The sequence below is a fragment of the Homo sapiens genome, chromosome 1 (genome assembly GCF_000001405.40).
Source record: "Homo sapiens chromosome 1, GRCh38.p14 Primary Assembly".
Classification (NCBI taxonomy): Eukaryota; Metazoa; Chordata; class Mammalia; order Primates; family Hominidae; genus Homo; species Homo sapiens.
The window spans coordinates 41,884,988-41,898,331 of record NC_000001.11 but is presented as its reverse complement, the minus strand read 5'-3'; the positions used below and the strand labels follow the sequence as shown (position 1 = coordinate 41,898,331).

General features: G+C 45.7%; 1 protein-coding gene across 4 annotated transcripts in view, besides 2 other annotated features; it reads left to right on the top strand.

The window, feature by feature from the left end:
- The window catches only part of HIVEP3 (HIVEP zinc finger 3), a 529,570-nt gene that overhangs the window by 137,603 nt on the left and 378,623 nt on the right, over positions 1-13,344 (top strand). The window lies entirely within an intron of this gene.
- Positions 6,576-6,875: an enhancer, noted in NCBI's record as "active region_889". NCBI's record gives its function as "activates an Ori minimal core promoter by ATAC-STARR-seq in GM12878 lymphoblastoid cells {active_cell/tissue: GM12878}" and the evidence as "EXISTENCE:reporter gene assay evidence [ECO:0000049][PMID:35858748]".
- Positions 10,009-10,218: a silencer, noted in NCBI's record as "fragment chr1:42353785-42353994 (GRCh37/hg19 assembly coordinates)". NCBI's record gives its function as "represses an EF-1alpha promoter that drives an FKBP-Casp9 reporter gene in an ReSE screen in K562 erythroleukemia cells {active_cell/tissue: K562}" and the evidence as "EXISTENCE:reporter gene assay evidence [ECO:0000049][PMID:32094911]".

Below are 13,344 nucleotides of genomic sequence, written 5' to 3'. Positions count from 1 at the left end.
CCAGGGAGACTGCCAGGAAGCAAGGGCCCTCCCTTCCGCCCTGTTGGCTTTGTGTTGATTGATGGTGGCTAGAGGAAACTAAGTTTTTCTTATGTTGGATTAAAAGAACCTAAATTAGTTTTGTGTCCATACAGTGAGAACTTTGGTTCCAAGATGCACCAAGACTGAAACAAACAACAAATAGATGAAACCAATATTTCCTGCCCCCAGGATGCTGGGAGGTTAAACAACTCCTTTATTGTGCAGAGTGCAGGGGCCCTGTGAGAGCAAAATGATGCCAGTGGGGATGGCAGGCTCTGAGGCTCTGGTCTGCCCTTTCCCTCCACCCTGGGTCCTCCTTCTCCCAGCACCTCTCTCTCTCTCTCTCTCTCTCTCTCTCTCTCTCTCTCTCTCCCTCTCTCTCAGGTCTTTCCTTCTACCCTGGGTCCTCCTTCTCCCAGCAATAAAGAATTAGGTCATTCAAAGCATCTCCTCTCCCTAAGAGTGTGGATCTCACCCACCACATGCTGTCCTTGATCTGGGGCCTGACAAAGATTCTCTCCATGACCACACGTTAGGCTCTTCTGAGATTTTTTTCAACTAGGGGTCAACTTTTGAGCTTCTGTGTTTGTCTCTGTCCAACTGTAGCACGAATCCAGTTTAGACAGAATCCTCCATCCTCAATATCTGATCACCCTTGATATCTGATTGGGTTCCTCATCTGTCTTACGCTGTTCCTGCTGCTATAGCAAAATACCTTAGAATGGGTAATTTATGTACTGCTCACTATTCTGGCGGCTGGGCAGTCCAAGGTCAAGGCACCAGCAGATTCAGTGTTGACGAGGGCCTGTTCTTCAGAAAAGATGCCTTCTACGTGTCCTCAGATGGTGGAGGGGTAGGGACGCTTTCTTCAACCTTTTTTATGAGGACACTAATCCCAGCCCTCATGACCTCATCACTTCCTATAGGCTCCACCTCTTCATTCTATCACACTGGTATTAGGTTCCAACATAAGAATTTTAGGGGGACACCAACATTCAGACCATAGCATCATCCTCTACCGTGCCCCAGGTGATGTCTGTTCAACCTGCCTGCCTTCAGCAAGAATCCTGTTAGGCCAATTTAGCCAGAATCCCCCCTTACCTCTGATGTTTCTGCAGTAATTTTCCATCCACTGACCTTCACCATTCTCGTTGGCTATGCATTCCCACTTTTCCTTGTATTTGGAGTTGATCCCAATCTCTCTCCCTGACTGCAAAACACCACTGTGGTGGTCCCTACACCAATCTTGGTGGTTTCCCTAAATAAAGCTTGCCCTATAGTTCGTTAGCAAGCGCCATTGAATCATTTTTTTCTTTAACGAGCGCTCCATGACTGCTGTCAGGATCCTCTGTCACAGCAGGGACCACTTCTTTCCAAAGACCATGTGATAGACCTCTTTGAGACAGGAGAACTGGAGTTCATTAAAAAGCATGCCTTGGCCAGGCGCAGTGGCTCACAACTGTAATCCTAGCACTTTGGGAGACCAAGGAAGGCAGATCACGAGGTCAGGAGATTGAGACTATCCTGGCTACCATGGTGAAACCCTATCTCTACTAAAAATACAAAAAATTAGCCGGGTGTGGTGGCACGCACTTGTGGTCTCAGCTACTCAGGAGGCTGAGGCAGGAGAATCGCTTGAACCCGGGAGGCAGAGGTTGCGGTGACCCGAGATCGCACCATTGCACTCTAGCCTGGGCCACAGAGTGACACTCCGTCTCAAAAAAAAAAAAAAAGAAAAGAAAAGTAAAAAGCATGCCTTTTTGAGTGGGATTACAAGGAACTTGGAAAGGAGCTGGGCCTCACTCACAGACTTGAGTAGAATTTCAGCTCTGGCCAAGTGGCAGTCAGAAAAGCAGTGGGCCGGGCACCTAATGCAGTTGCCTCCACATGTGTTGACAGGAAAGGTTCTGTCTTTGGACACCACGCAAGTTCACAGTGGTTAAGGAAGGACCAGATAATTCAGCACTAACTTCTGAAGAAGAGGAATGCTCATAATCTGGTTGATGCCCATACATTTCACTCATCAACTTGAATCCTGAAGCTTTTTAAAAAACAAAAGCTACTATGTATTGAGAGTTTTACTTTGTGGTAGACATTGTTTTTATTCCCATTTTACAGAGTGGAAAACTGCTGCATAGAAAGGTCCAGGGATTCGCCACATGTCACAGAGCTAGTAAGTGGCAGAGCTGGGAATCGCACCTAGGAAGCCTGGCTCTAGAAGTACCCCCTCCACCACTCCACGTTGTTAAATGTGTCAAAATATATTGATATTCATTAGAAGTAACTATGAGTCACTCAGTGTGTAATATGTTGTATATAATATTCAATTAATATTCATCCGGGCAGTGCCGTGATTAGCGGTGAATTATATATTATTTTAATAACTGAGGGTACCAATGAATGGCCTTTCTCACTTTGCTCAAACATAGTCTCTCTGTCTTTAAGCCGTTTCTTTGCCCTTAGCACTCCCAGTTTTCTATAGGCCGTGTTCTCATTCTCCTAATATAAAGCAAATAAATGTTTATCAGTCACTTGATGTGTTCCTGGGGGATGTTCCCAGCCACACCCTGTCCTGATGCCTCACTTCCTGCCTCAGAAGGCCCTCCTCCACCTTGCCTTCTACTCCTCTCCTTACCGTTAGCTAGAACAGCCTTCCCTTGGGCCTGCGGGGGGTCCAGTTACACCTCTAAACAAATTGCAATCTTTAAGTAATTTCAAAAAAGATAAATATTTATTTAGTCTGAAATGTGCCTTTCTCTGGTCAGTACTTCTGATTGGCCTGGGTGGCCTGCATTAGCACACTGGGTTGCCAACAGTCTGGTCCTGCTTTTTGGTTAACCTAAGCACCTTTGCCTCTGGTAATGTTAGGTCATTTGAAGCCCTGATATGAACATTGGACCCCCTGGATCTGAACAGCCCATTGTGGAAGCAGTCTACTAAAATGGGTGGAATGAAGGCTGGGGCCAGACCACGTGGAGTGTGTAGGGGGAGATGAGTTTATGTGCAGGGAGACCAAAGTGGGCAGATGGAAGGGAACTGGGTTCATGGGGAAAGGAGTGGGATCTCCTGGACATCCTTCACTGAGAGGTAGAGGACAGGGGAGCCTGCACATAGCCTGCTTGGGGCCACCCTGGTCTTCAGCAGCTGCACCTCTCAGGACTTGGGCTTCTTTCTCACCTGAATCAGTGAGCCTGTCCATCCTTTCATAAAAGGATCAAGTTTTCCAGCGTGGGGCTTATCTTATGACTTCCTTACTTTTGCTTACAGACGCGACCATACTAAAACTTGTGAGACTGTTGTGTTTTCTGGGGGGTGGTTGTGGGGGAGGGTCCTGACTTGCTGCGCAAGGTTAGTTTCTCTTCTGCAAAGTGGCCAGGAAGGGAGCTCTTGCAGCGTGCTTCTAGAGTATGTGTTTTAGATTGCTTAGTAAGGCCTGGTTATCTGTTAAATATAGACAACATTTTAATTTATTTCCAAGTAGACAGACTTGGGACCTTTCAAAGCCAGCATGCAAAGGCCAGAGTCACCTTCAGTGCTGGGTTACAGCAGAGAGCAATTTCAGGCCTAAGATGTCATTCGCAGCAACCTTAGCACTGGTCATTGTTGTTGAGCCACGATATTTGAAAACATTGTGTTAGAGTATATTCATGCCAGCCTCACTAGAGCTCATTTTGAATTTCTGGATAAACATTCTGGCGTTGCTGCATGTTTCGGGAGTGGAAATGTTTGAATGTTTGCCATTCTGGGTGATGGAAGGAAAATAGAAAAAGCAAGTGGTGAGATCCTTGGTCTCAGTGTTCAAGGGTAATGTAAACAGTATAAGGTTAACATGGAATGAAGGTTGAGAAGCCACATTTGCTGCACACCTTGATAGGAGAGACTAAGGTAGATAATAAATGTAAACTTTGATCTGTAAGGCAGCCCTGTGAGTGAGCTAATGGAAGAGTGTAGGTTGTGGCTCCAGATTGCTGAATGTGAATCCTGTGTCCTCCTCTTACTAGCTGGGTCATCTTGGACAATTTACTTAATTTCCCTTCACCTCAGTTTTCTCATCTGTAAAGTGGGGAGGTCAGGTTAACACTACAGCATAGGGTGATTAGGAAGATTAAATGAGTTAATATGTATGAACTGCTTTGAATAGTGCCTGGTACTTAGAAACTGCTACATAAGTTTTGTTAAATATATAAAATAGGCTGGGCATGGTGGCTCATGCCTGTAATCCCTGCACTTGGTGTGGTGGCGAGTGTCTGTAATCCTAGCTACTCAGGAGGTTGAGGCAGGAGAATCACTTGAACCCAGTAGGTGGAGGTTGCAGTGAGCTGAGATCATGCCACTGCACTCTGGCCTGTGCAACAGAGTGAGACTTCGTCTCAGAAAGACAATTTATATATATATATATAAAAAATAAATATTATATATGCATATTCATATATAATATATAATATATAATTTTTTCATATTCATATATAATATATATTATATGTTATATAATGTATTATATATAAATATGCATATTTAATATATAAATATATAATATATAAAAATATGTATATATGAATATAAATATATATGTATATCTATATACACACACACAAACACATACACACACACATATATATAAACCTGAGGCTCTGACAGGTGAAGTAAGTTATACAAAGGCCCCTGGGCTAGTCAGCAGTGATGTTAGAATTTGAGCCCAGCACTCTTAGGCTCTAGAGCAGGGTTTCTCAGCCTTGGCACCATTGACATTTTGGGCCAGATGATTCCTTGTTGTGAGAGCTGTCCTGGGCATTGTAGGAGGTATAGTAGCAAACCTGGCCTCTACCAGGGCCCACTAGGTAGCGATAGCAACCCCCTGACCCCCAGATGTGACAACCAAAAATGTCTTCAGACATTGATGAGTGTTCCCTAGGGGGGCTAAACTGCCCCCAGTTGAAAACCACTGGGCAGAGAGAGGGATTAATATCCTGGAGAGTTTTGCAGCAGCCTGACTTCTCAGTTCCAGGGTTCAGAGCCCAGTTCCCACTTATCACCTTATTTCCTTACAGACCAATGGTCAGAGAAGGCCAGGATCATGGTGGCTGGTATGTGTACACACAGCAGCCGACAAGCTTCTGTATGTGGGTTTGAGCCAGAGGCTTCTCAGCTGTGGGTTTTTTGCTTTTCTGTTTTTTTTTTTTTTTTTTTTGAGACGAGATCTTGCTTTGTCACCCACGCTAGAGTGCAGTTGCACGAACATGGCTCGCTACAGCCTCAACCTTGCGGGCACTAGCTGTCCTCCTGCCTCAGCCTCCCGAGTAGCTGGGACTACAGATGTGTGCCACCACCCCTAGCTAATTTTTGCATTTTTTTTTTTAGAGATAGGGTTTCACCATGTTGCCCTGGCTGGTCTTGAACTCCTGAGCTCAAGCAATCTGCTCGCCTCAACCTCCCAAAGTTCTGGGATTACAGGCATGAGCCACCGTACCCAGCCTTTGCTGTTTTTTGAGCTGTTTTCTTTTCTTCTTTTTGGCTGGGCACGTTCAGACTATAAGGTGGGCCAGGCTATGTGGCTGGTTTGAGTTTCTCTCTGCAGCTGTCAGCAGCAGAGTCCAGGCAGCCACACTGACCCATGCTGCCTTTCTTGGAGGCACAGCTGGTTGATTTAACTGGAGTCACAGTGTGAAGGGTCCCAGAGCAGAGGGGTCAGCTGACAAGAGGAGAGCCAACGTTCAACATTTATCGTTGCCATGTCATGATACTGCCTCACTCAGCACTTATTCTGATTTGCAACATCTGGGTCTTTTTTTCTTCTCTTCCTGCCTTCTCTGTGCTCTCTTTGGGTTTCAGAACTTGAACCTGTGGCAGCAGTGGTAGGCTGTGGTTCAGAGCGTCTGGGCATATGTGAGATGTGAGCAGAGCCACTGTGTTCTTGGCACCCAGCTGCTAGTTCCGCTCTCAAAGCCCCATTTGTAAGAAATATATTGACCAGCCGCTCAGTGTCTCTGACCAAGTTCTTAGAAAAGTCTCAGAGCTAGCAATATGTTTTACTCCTAGTGGGTGGGTGGAGATGGGATGGGGAAAGGAATTTTTTGTTGTTGTTGTTTATTTGTTTTAAGATAAAGCTCTGGTGTTTGGACTCATTTAAAGAGAGCTATGCAGTGTCTTGTTTGAATGTTTGTTTTTATGGGTTAATGGCTTTGCATCAGTAGTCACAGCTTCGGTGTCCAAATATTTTAGTTCTGGTTCAGAACCTACTTTTCTCTTGTTTTGATGCAAGCTATTTTCCTAGGGTACTCTATTTCTTTTCAATAGAAAGGTGATATTCACCCTTGCACTAAATGAGTGTTGATATCTGATAGGGAAACAGGCAGCTCTTGTGCTGGCAGAACCGATGTGCCTTTCTCCTTAAAATCTCCAGGACGCTTTCTCTCGTGAGTTTTACTCCTTGCCTTTTCCCATTGGAAGGCCATCTCTTTTCACAAGCAATGAAATCAGGACATGGGAAGAAGTGACTGTAGGAGAAAGAAGACAGCTGTCAGTAAACGTAATTAACCCCGATCTCCTCTGGAGGGCTGCCTCTTGAGCGAGCTGTGCTTTAAACCAGCCCGAATGGATGTTCAGAACAGAAAGAGAAAGTGAGTTACCAAGGACTTCTGGGGAGTGCCGTGAGCAGGGGTTCCTTTCTTACCTGGAGGGAGCCCCACACATTCAAATCATTTGCTGAGATCTAGCTAGGTGCTGTGCTGGGGACACACCGATGACAGCCTGTGGAAATGCTGGGCCTGGTGGACCCAGGAAGCGTTGACTCCCAGAGCAGGAGGGGCAGCCCGTCTTTGCAGCATGGACCTTGCTGTGGTAACCCACACCATCAGCCCTTCTGCCCCGTGACACCACCACTTCATTGTCAGGAAGCACAGTTAAGGGGAAATGAGTTTTGTATTTTAGCAAAGTTTAATTGAAACTCAAAATTCCCCCCAGTTGGATGCAAACTGTCTTATGTGAGTAGAAATACATGTGCAACCCAAAATTGGGAAATAAGTTTGGGGCTTTTGGGGTTGGGCCTGCCTGCTGTTTCCCTGTTTTTTTTCTGTGTTCCTGCACATTGATTAGAATTCTTGTCCCTGTTAGTCCAGGGTGAAAGGGGAAGGCTGGCAAGTTTGGACACATAAATCTTACACCAGACGAGTTTCCTGGAAAAAGATCAGATCAGGCCTAAAGCAGGGCAGTCCTTCTGGCAAAGTGACTCTGTGTGGTCAGGTGGCAGTGGCCATCTGGGGAGCCCGGAGCCTCTGGGTGAGGAATGTGTTGGCCACCTCTCCAGCTGGCCTGCTCGTTTCAGGGCTCCCGTGTGGTGGAAGCAGGACCGTAGAGAGGCAGCCTCCCAGGCAGGCTAGTCATTCAAACCTCTCCCTTATGCATTATCTAATAATTATGTAGTAAGGAATGGGAGAGCTGCCTGAGTGGAGCGTTGACAATGTGCAGGTTATATAAGGAAGCTTGCCCAGAGACCTGGGTTAACAGGCCTCACATTTCTCATCCCCCTGACCCCAGGGTTATAGACAATTGCCCTTCAGGCAGCTGCCTGGCCAGCCCACGCCTTGCCCAGACTTGGAGTAAGATTCTGGAATCAGACAAATGTGGGCTTGAATCCCAGCTCCACCACTTACCAAGTTGGTTTTCCGGGGGAAGCTGCTTAACTTCTCTGAGCCTCAGGCTCCTCATTTGTAAAATGGTCCAAGGATTAAATGACAAACTATATAAAAAGGGCCATGGATCATTCATCTCCCAAACCTCAGCATCACACAATAATCCCAGGTAACAAACCTGCACATGAATCTACAATAAAAGCTGGAAAACATAAATAAGGGCTGTCACAGTGCCTGTACTGTGGCTCTTCAGAACTCAACCCAGTTGTCACTTGGCCCAGGAATCAGGCCCTTCCTGGATTCCAGGTCCCTCATTTGTGCCCCGAGCATCTTTTCTACCCTAGCTCTTGTTCACTTTTCTGTTTCTCCCTTTAGGCTGTAAGTACCTTGGAGGCAGGTGCTATGTTTGGTTGTCTCTGTGCTCAGAGCCTGCACCAAAGCAGCCAGCACTTAAGGAGTGCTGACTGAGCATTCCAGGCTTGGTTCTAAGTAATTTACATGTGAAAATTTATTTAAACCACACAGCAACCCATGAGGTAGGGACTATCATCATCCCCATTTTACAGACAAGGAAACTGAGGCACAGGGTAATTGAATCACATGCCCAGTGGCACAAAGCTAGTCATTGGCCGAGCCAGGATTTGAACCAGGTACATCTGTTTCAGAATCTGTTCTCTTAACCACTGTGCTGTCACTTGAGTTGTTCATTGGATGGTGAGCAGATGGGGCAATGTTATTATGGTTAAACTATTATTGTTAATTCCGGGCAAGCCACTTGCCTTTCTAGGCCTGCTTCTTTGTTCATTAAGTGGGGAGCAGGGTTCTTGTGAGGATTAGATGGGAGTGATGAGTATAAAGGAGACTGCAAACCCTATCCAGAGCCATCACCTTGGGAGTGTCACCGTGGTAATCAGAGTCCGTTATTCCTACAGGAGCTCCATCCACAACTGCTCTGCAGGGGACAATGGGTGCCCTCATTCCCCACAGGGCTCCCTACCCTCTCCATCGATACACACTAACATATGGGAAATGAAGGCCCACCCTGCCGGGCTTTCATACTCTAGAATGCGTGAATTTTTGCTCTTGGCAGCCCATTAAAAGGGCTAGAGTCCCCCATGCTGTCCTTTGATGGTGGAATACAGGAGAGTTTAACCTCAGGCCCTGCAGGAGAGTTGAGGCAAGGTGTCCCTCCAGTCCCAAGGAGAAGGGGGTGCTGCCCTTCAGACTCTGCGTAGGTCTGGAATGGCAGTGGCTTTTGGGTAATGAGGTGGCAGTGTCGGGGACATTGAGAAGGTGGATGATGTTATTGTCAGTGACTCCACAACTCCTGCCTTTTGATATTCCAGCCACGTAAAGCTGCAACTAAGGTTTCCCAGCAAAGACTTGGAATGCAAAGCACACTTTAAAGTGTGTGAGTTTGTGTGTAGCAGGGGATGTGGGGTGGGACTGTGTGAGGTGTGGGGTGTGTGGTGTATGTGGTGTGTGTGTGTGTGAGATATGTGTGTTTGTGAGGTATATGGAGGTGTGTGTGATGTGTGAGGTATGTGGGGGGTGTGTGTGTGGTGCTTGTGTGTGTTTGGTGTGTGAGGTATGTGGCGTATGTGTGGTGTGTGTGGTGTATGTGTTGTGTGGTGTGTGTGTGTGTGTGTAGCGTGTGAGGTATGTGGTGTGTGTATGTGGTATGTGGTGTGTGTGTGGCATGTGTGGTCTTTGTGTGTGTGTGTGGCATGTGTGGTCTTTGTGTGTGTATGTGGCATGTGGTGTGTGAGGTATATGGTGTACGTGTGTGGGGTATGTGTGTGAGGTATGTGGTGTGTGTGTGAGGTATGTGGTATGGGGGCATGTGTGTGTGGTATATGTGTGAGGTATGTGGTGTGTGTGTGTTTGGTATGTGTATGAGGTATGTGGGGGTGCGCATGTGTGAGGTATGTGGTGTGGGGGGCATGTGTGTGTGTGGTATGTGTGTGGGGGGTGTGAGGTATATGGTGTGTATGTTGGGGGGTACATGAGGTATGTGATAACTGATTCTGGAGCTAATTTATCCTCCTTATTCTGTCAGGTGTGATCTGAATCATTTCCTTGGCTCACATCTGATGATGCCCTTATTCTCTACAAGGCCTAACACCTCAGTCACTTTAGGTTCTATTTCCTTTTTCCCCCTCTTTGGCCCCTTCTCAGCTGGGCTGTCCCTCTCTTCTCTCTGGATAGGCCTTCCTTTCTCCTCCTTCTCCTCTCTCCTCACATATCGGCCACACTCACCTGCAAACACTCTTCTTGAGAAGAAGGGCTTAGATATGTCTTAGTAAAGACTGTTTAAAATCAGCTGGGCTAGGCCGGGCGTGGTGGCTCATGCCTGTAATCCGAGCACTTTGGGAGGCCAAGGTGGGCAGATTACGAAGTCAGGAGATTGAGACCATCCTGGCTAACATGTTGAAACCCCATCTCTACTAAAAATACAAAAAAAAAAAAAAAAAAAAAAATTAGCCGGGCGTGGTGGTGGGTGCCTGTAGTCCCAGCTACTTGAGAGGCTGAGGCAGGAGAATGGCGTGAACCCAGGAGGCGGAGCTTGCAGTGAGCTGAGATCACGCCACTGCACTCCAGCCTGGGCGACAGAGACTCAGTCTCAAAAAAAAAAAAAAAAAAAAGTTCAGCTGGGCTTAACAGTAGAGCCTGGGGTGGGGGTGTGATGGGAGCATTCTATATCTCCACTGTCTGACTCAGAAACCACTGGCCACATGTGGCTATTAAGTATTTAAAACGTGGTTACTGCAACTGAAGGACTGGATTTTTTATTTCATTTCATTTTTATTAATTTAAATAGCCGCATGTGGCCAGGACCACCATTTTGGACAGTGCAAGTTTAGGGAATGTGACACCCAGAAGAATCAAACCAGATTCAATTATATTGTTTGGGGATTTGGGGCTATTTATCTTTAATCTGGGCACTTGGTTTTAACAGAGTCGGGATTTGTCAGTTGCATACTCAGGTCTTCAGAAAACCTCTTGCTGTCTGCTCAGGTGAGGTAGAAGCCACATGTGCTGGCTGCAGTGATGGTATCCAGTTTACAAATTCATCATCCTTTGACCTTCTCCACTAGCACCCTGACCCTTGTAGCCCAGGCTGCCCTATGGATGACTGGGCACAAATGTGTGAAGTTCAGGGGATCCCAAAGTCAGGGACCAAGTTCTCTAGTCCTGGGTCTGCCACTTCCTGGCTGGGAAAGTTATTTCACCTCCAGGGATGGGTTGAGATTTTGTAGGGCTTGAAGTTTAAGCAACTGGGGGACCTCTTTAAGAAAAAGAATATAAAATTACAAATACAAAATTAGGTACCATGGTGAATATTTATTTAGAATAAGAAAATAAATCACATTCAATATACGTTTTTAAAACCTGACATGTATCACAAACTTTATAAAATCCAGAAAAATAACAAAATATTTTTATTATTTGCCTGTGAAACCTCCATAATACTTTTTTCCCTGAATATATTTTGGCTGAATACACTTTGATCACCTCTTCATATGATAGTGATTTTGTAATTTTTCTAAAGGGAGGTTGCAAAGAAAATTTAGCTTTTCTTCTAGCATGACTGACAATATTTATTTTTTATTATTGATAGTTACATTGCATAAAACATGGCTTCAGACACAGACATCCACTTTTTTTTGTTTTACTGCCATAGGTTTGGGTCCTACAATACAGGAATTTTGATAAAATATATTTTGTGTAATTCCCACCAAAAAGGGGGAAAATGTCTGGTATATTTATAACTGTATTCATTATATTATCAAATACATTTCTGATAGGAGAAAACTTTCTTTTTCGAATAGGCATCAGTGAAAACTAAATTTTCCTTCAATTCCACATGTCCAAAGACTGGAAGAAAGTTCTATGCTCTAGCTTCTGGCTCTGTATAGTTCTTTTTTCTTTTCTTTTCCTTCTTTTTTTTTTTTTTTTTTTTTTTTTTGAAATGGAGTTTCACTCTTGTTGCCCAGGCTGGAGTGCAATGGCGCGATCTCAGCTCACCACAACCTCCGCCTCCCAGGTTCAAGCAATTCTCCTGCTTCAGCCTCTCGAGTAGCTAGGATTACAGGCATGTGCCACCACACCCAACTAATGTTGTATTTTTAGTAGAGACAGGGTTTCTCCATGTTGGTCAGGCTGGTCTTGAACTCCCGACCTCAGAGGATCCGCCTGCCTCGGTGTCACAAAATGCTGGGATGACAGGTGTGAGCCACCGCACCCGGACCGCTCTGTATATTTCAATCCTATTTTTTCTCCCCTATTTTTATGTCTCAGGTGCCAGGTATTGCACCTTTGAGTCTCAAAGCCATTGAGTTGTGGAAAGCTTAGCACTGGAAGCCATGGGGACAGCTAACAATCACTTGACTTTGCATTAACGTGACTGTGAACAATAGACATAAATCCCACTACACCCAAACTAAATTTATCCCCAAATTAACTTTCCCTTATGCTGGATCCCAAAACACCTATAGCTACTGTAACACCATTCAATATGAACATGAGGGGAAATGTATCAGGAGGAGACATCAGAGTTGAAAGATACAGTGCTCTTCATCAATTGCAGTTAAAATATCTTACTACTGCAAATTTCATTTAAAAATTACATGATTCTAAGAATATATTGCTAGGGCCTTGAAAGGGGTCCATGCTGGCAGGGCCCTGAAACTTTCTTCCTTAGCATCACAGTAAATCTGCACCTCACTGCTCTGAGCCTTGGGGTCTTCATCTTTAAAATGGGAAGAATAGGATCCATTTTATAGAATTATCATGGGTATTCAGTGTGCTATATTTGAAAGCTCGTTTACCTTGTGCCTGGGAAAGAAGTGCTCAGAAATAGGAAGGAAGGAGGGAAGAAGGGAGGGAGGGAGGGAATGAAAGGAAAGGAAGGGAATGGAAGGGAAGGGGGAAGGGAAAGGGGAAGAGGAGGGGGAAGGGAAGGAGGAAGGGAAGGAGGAAGGGAAGGAGGAAGGAAGGAAGGATTTTATTTTATTTTTTGACGGAGTCTCACTCTGTCACTCAGGCTGGAGTGCAGAGGTGATCTCAGCTCACTGCACCCCCTGCCTCTTGGGTTCAAGTGATTCTCATGCCTCAGCCTCCGCGTAGCTGGAACTACAGGCATGCACCACCATGCCCAGTTAATTTTTATATTTTTAGTACAGACAGGGTTTCCCCATGTTGGCCAGGCTGGTCTCAAACTCCTGACCTCAAGTGATCTGCCTGCCTCAGCCTCCCAAAGTGCTGGGATTATAGGCATGAACCACTGTGACTGGCCCTTTTTTTTTTCCTAGCCATCTACTTCGAGTACAGTGGCCTGCTTTGAATTCAGTGGCCCCCTACCACTGAGCAGCCCTAGGGGATCCCTAACCCAAATAAGAAATGGGGCTGGAGAGCAGGAAACGGAAAGCTCACATGAATGAGAGCACCTAAGGGTACTTTGAGTGGTCAGAACTTGGTATTTTTTCTTGAACCAAGTCTTACTGCTCATGACTTTCCTATGCCATATGATTCAGGGAGATTGTGCCTGAGTTATGTGAAGCTCAGAGGAGATTCTGAGCAATATGAGACTGGAACATGGTTCTCAGCTGGTGCAGAGCTTGTATAATAAGGGACTGCTCTGTGGAGAGCATGGGTACTGGATGCCTTTGGAATTTGACAGCTGTATCCAATC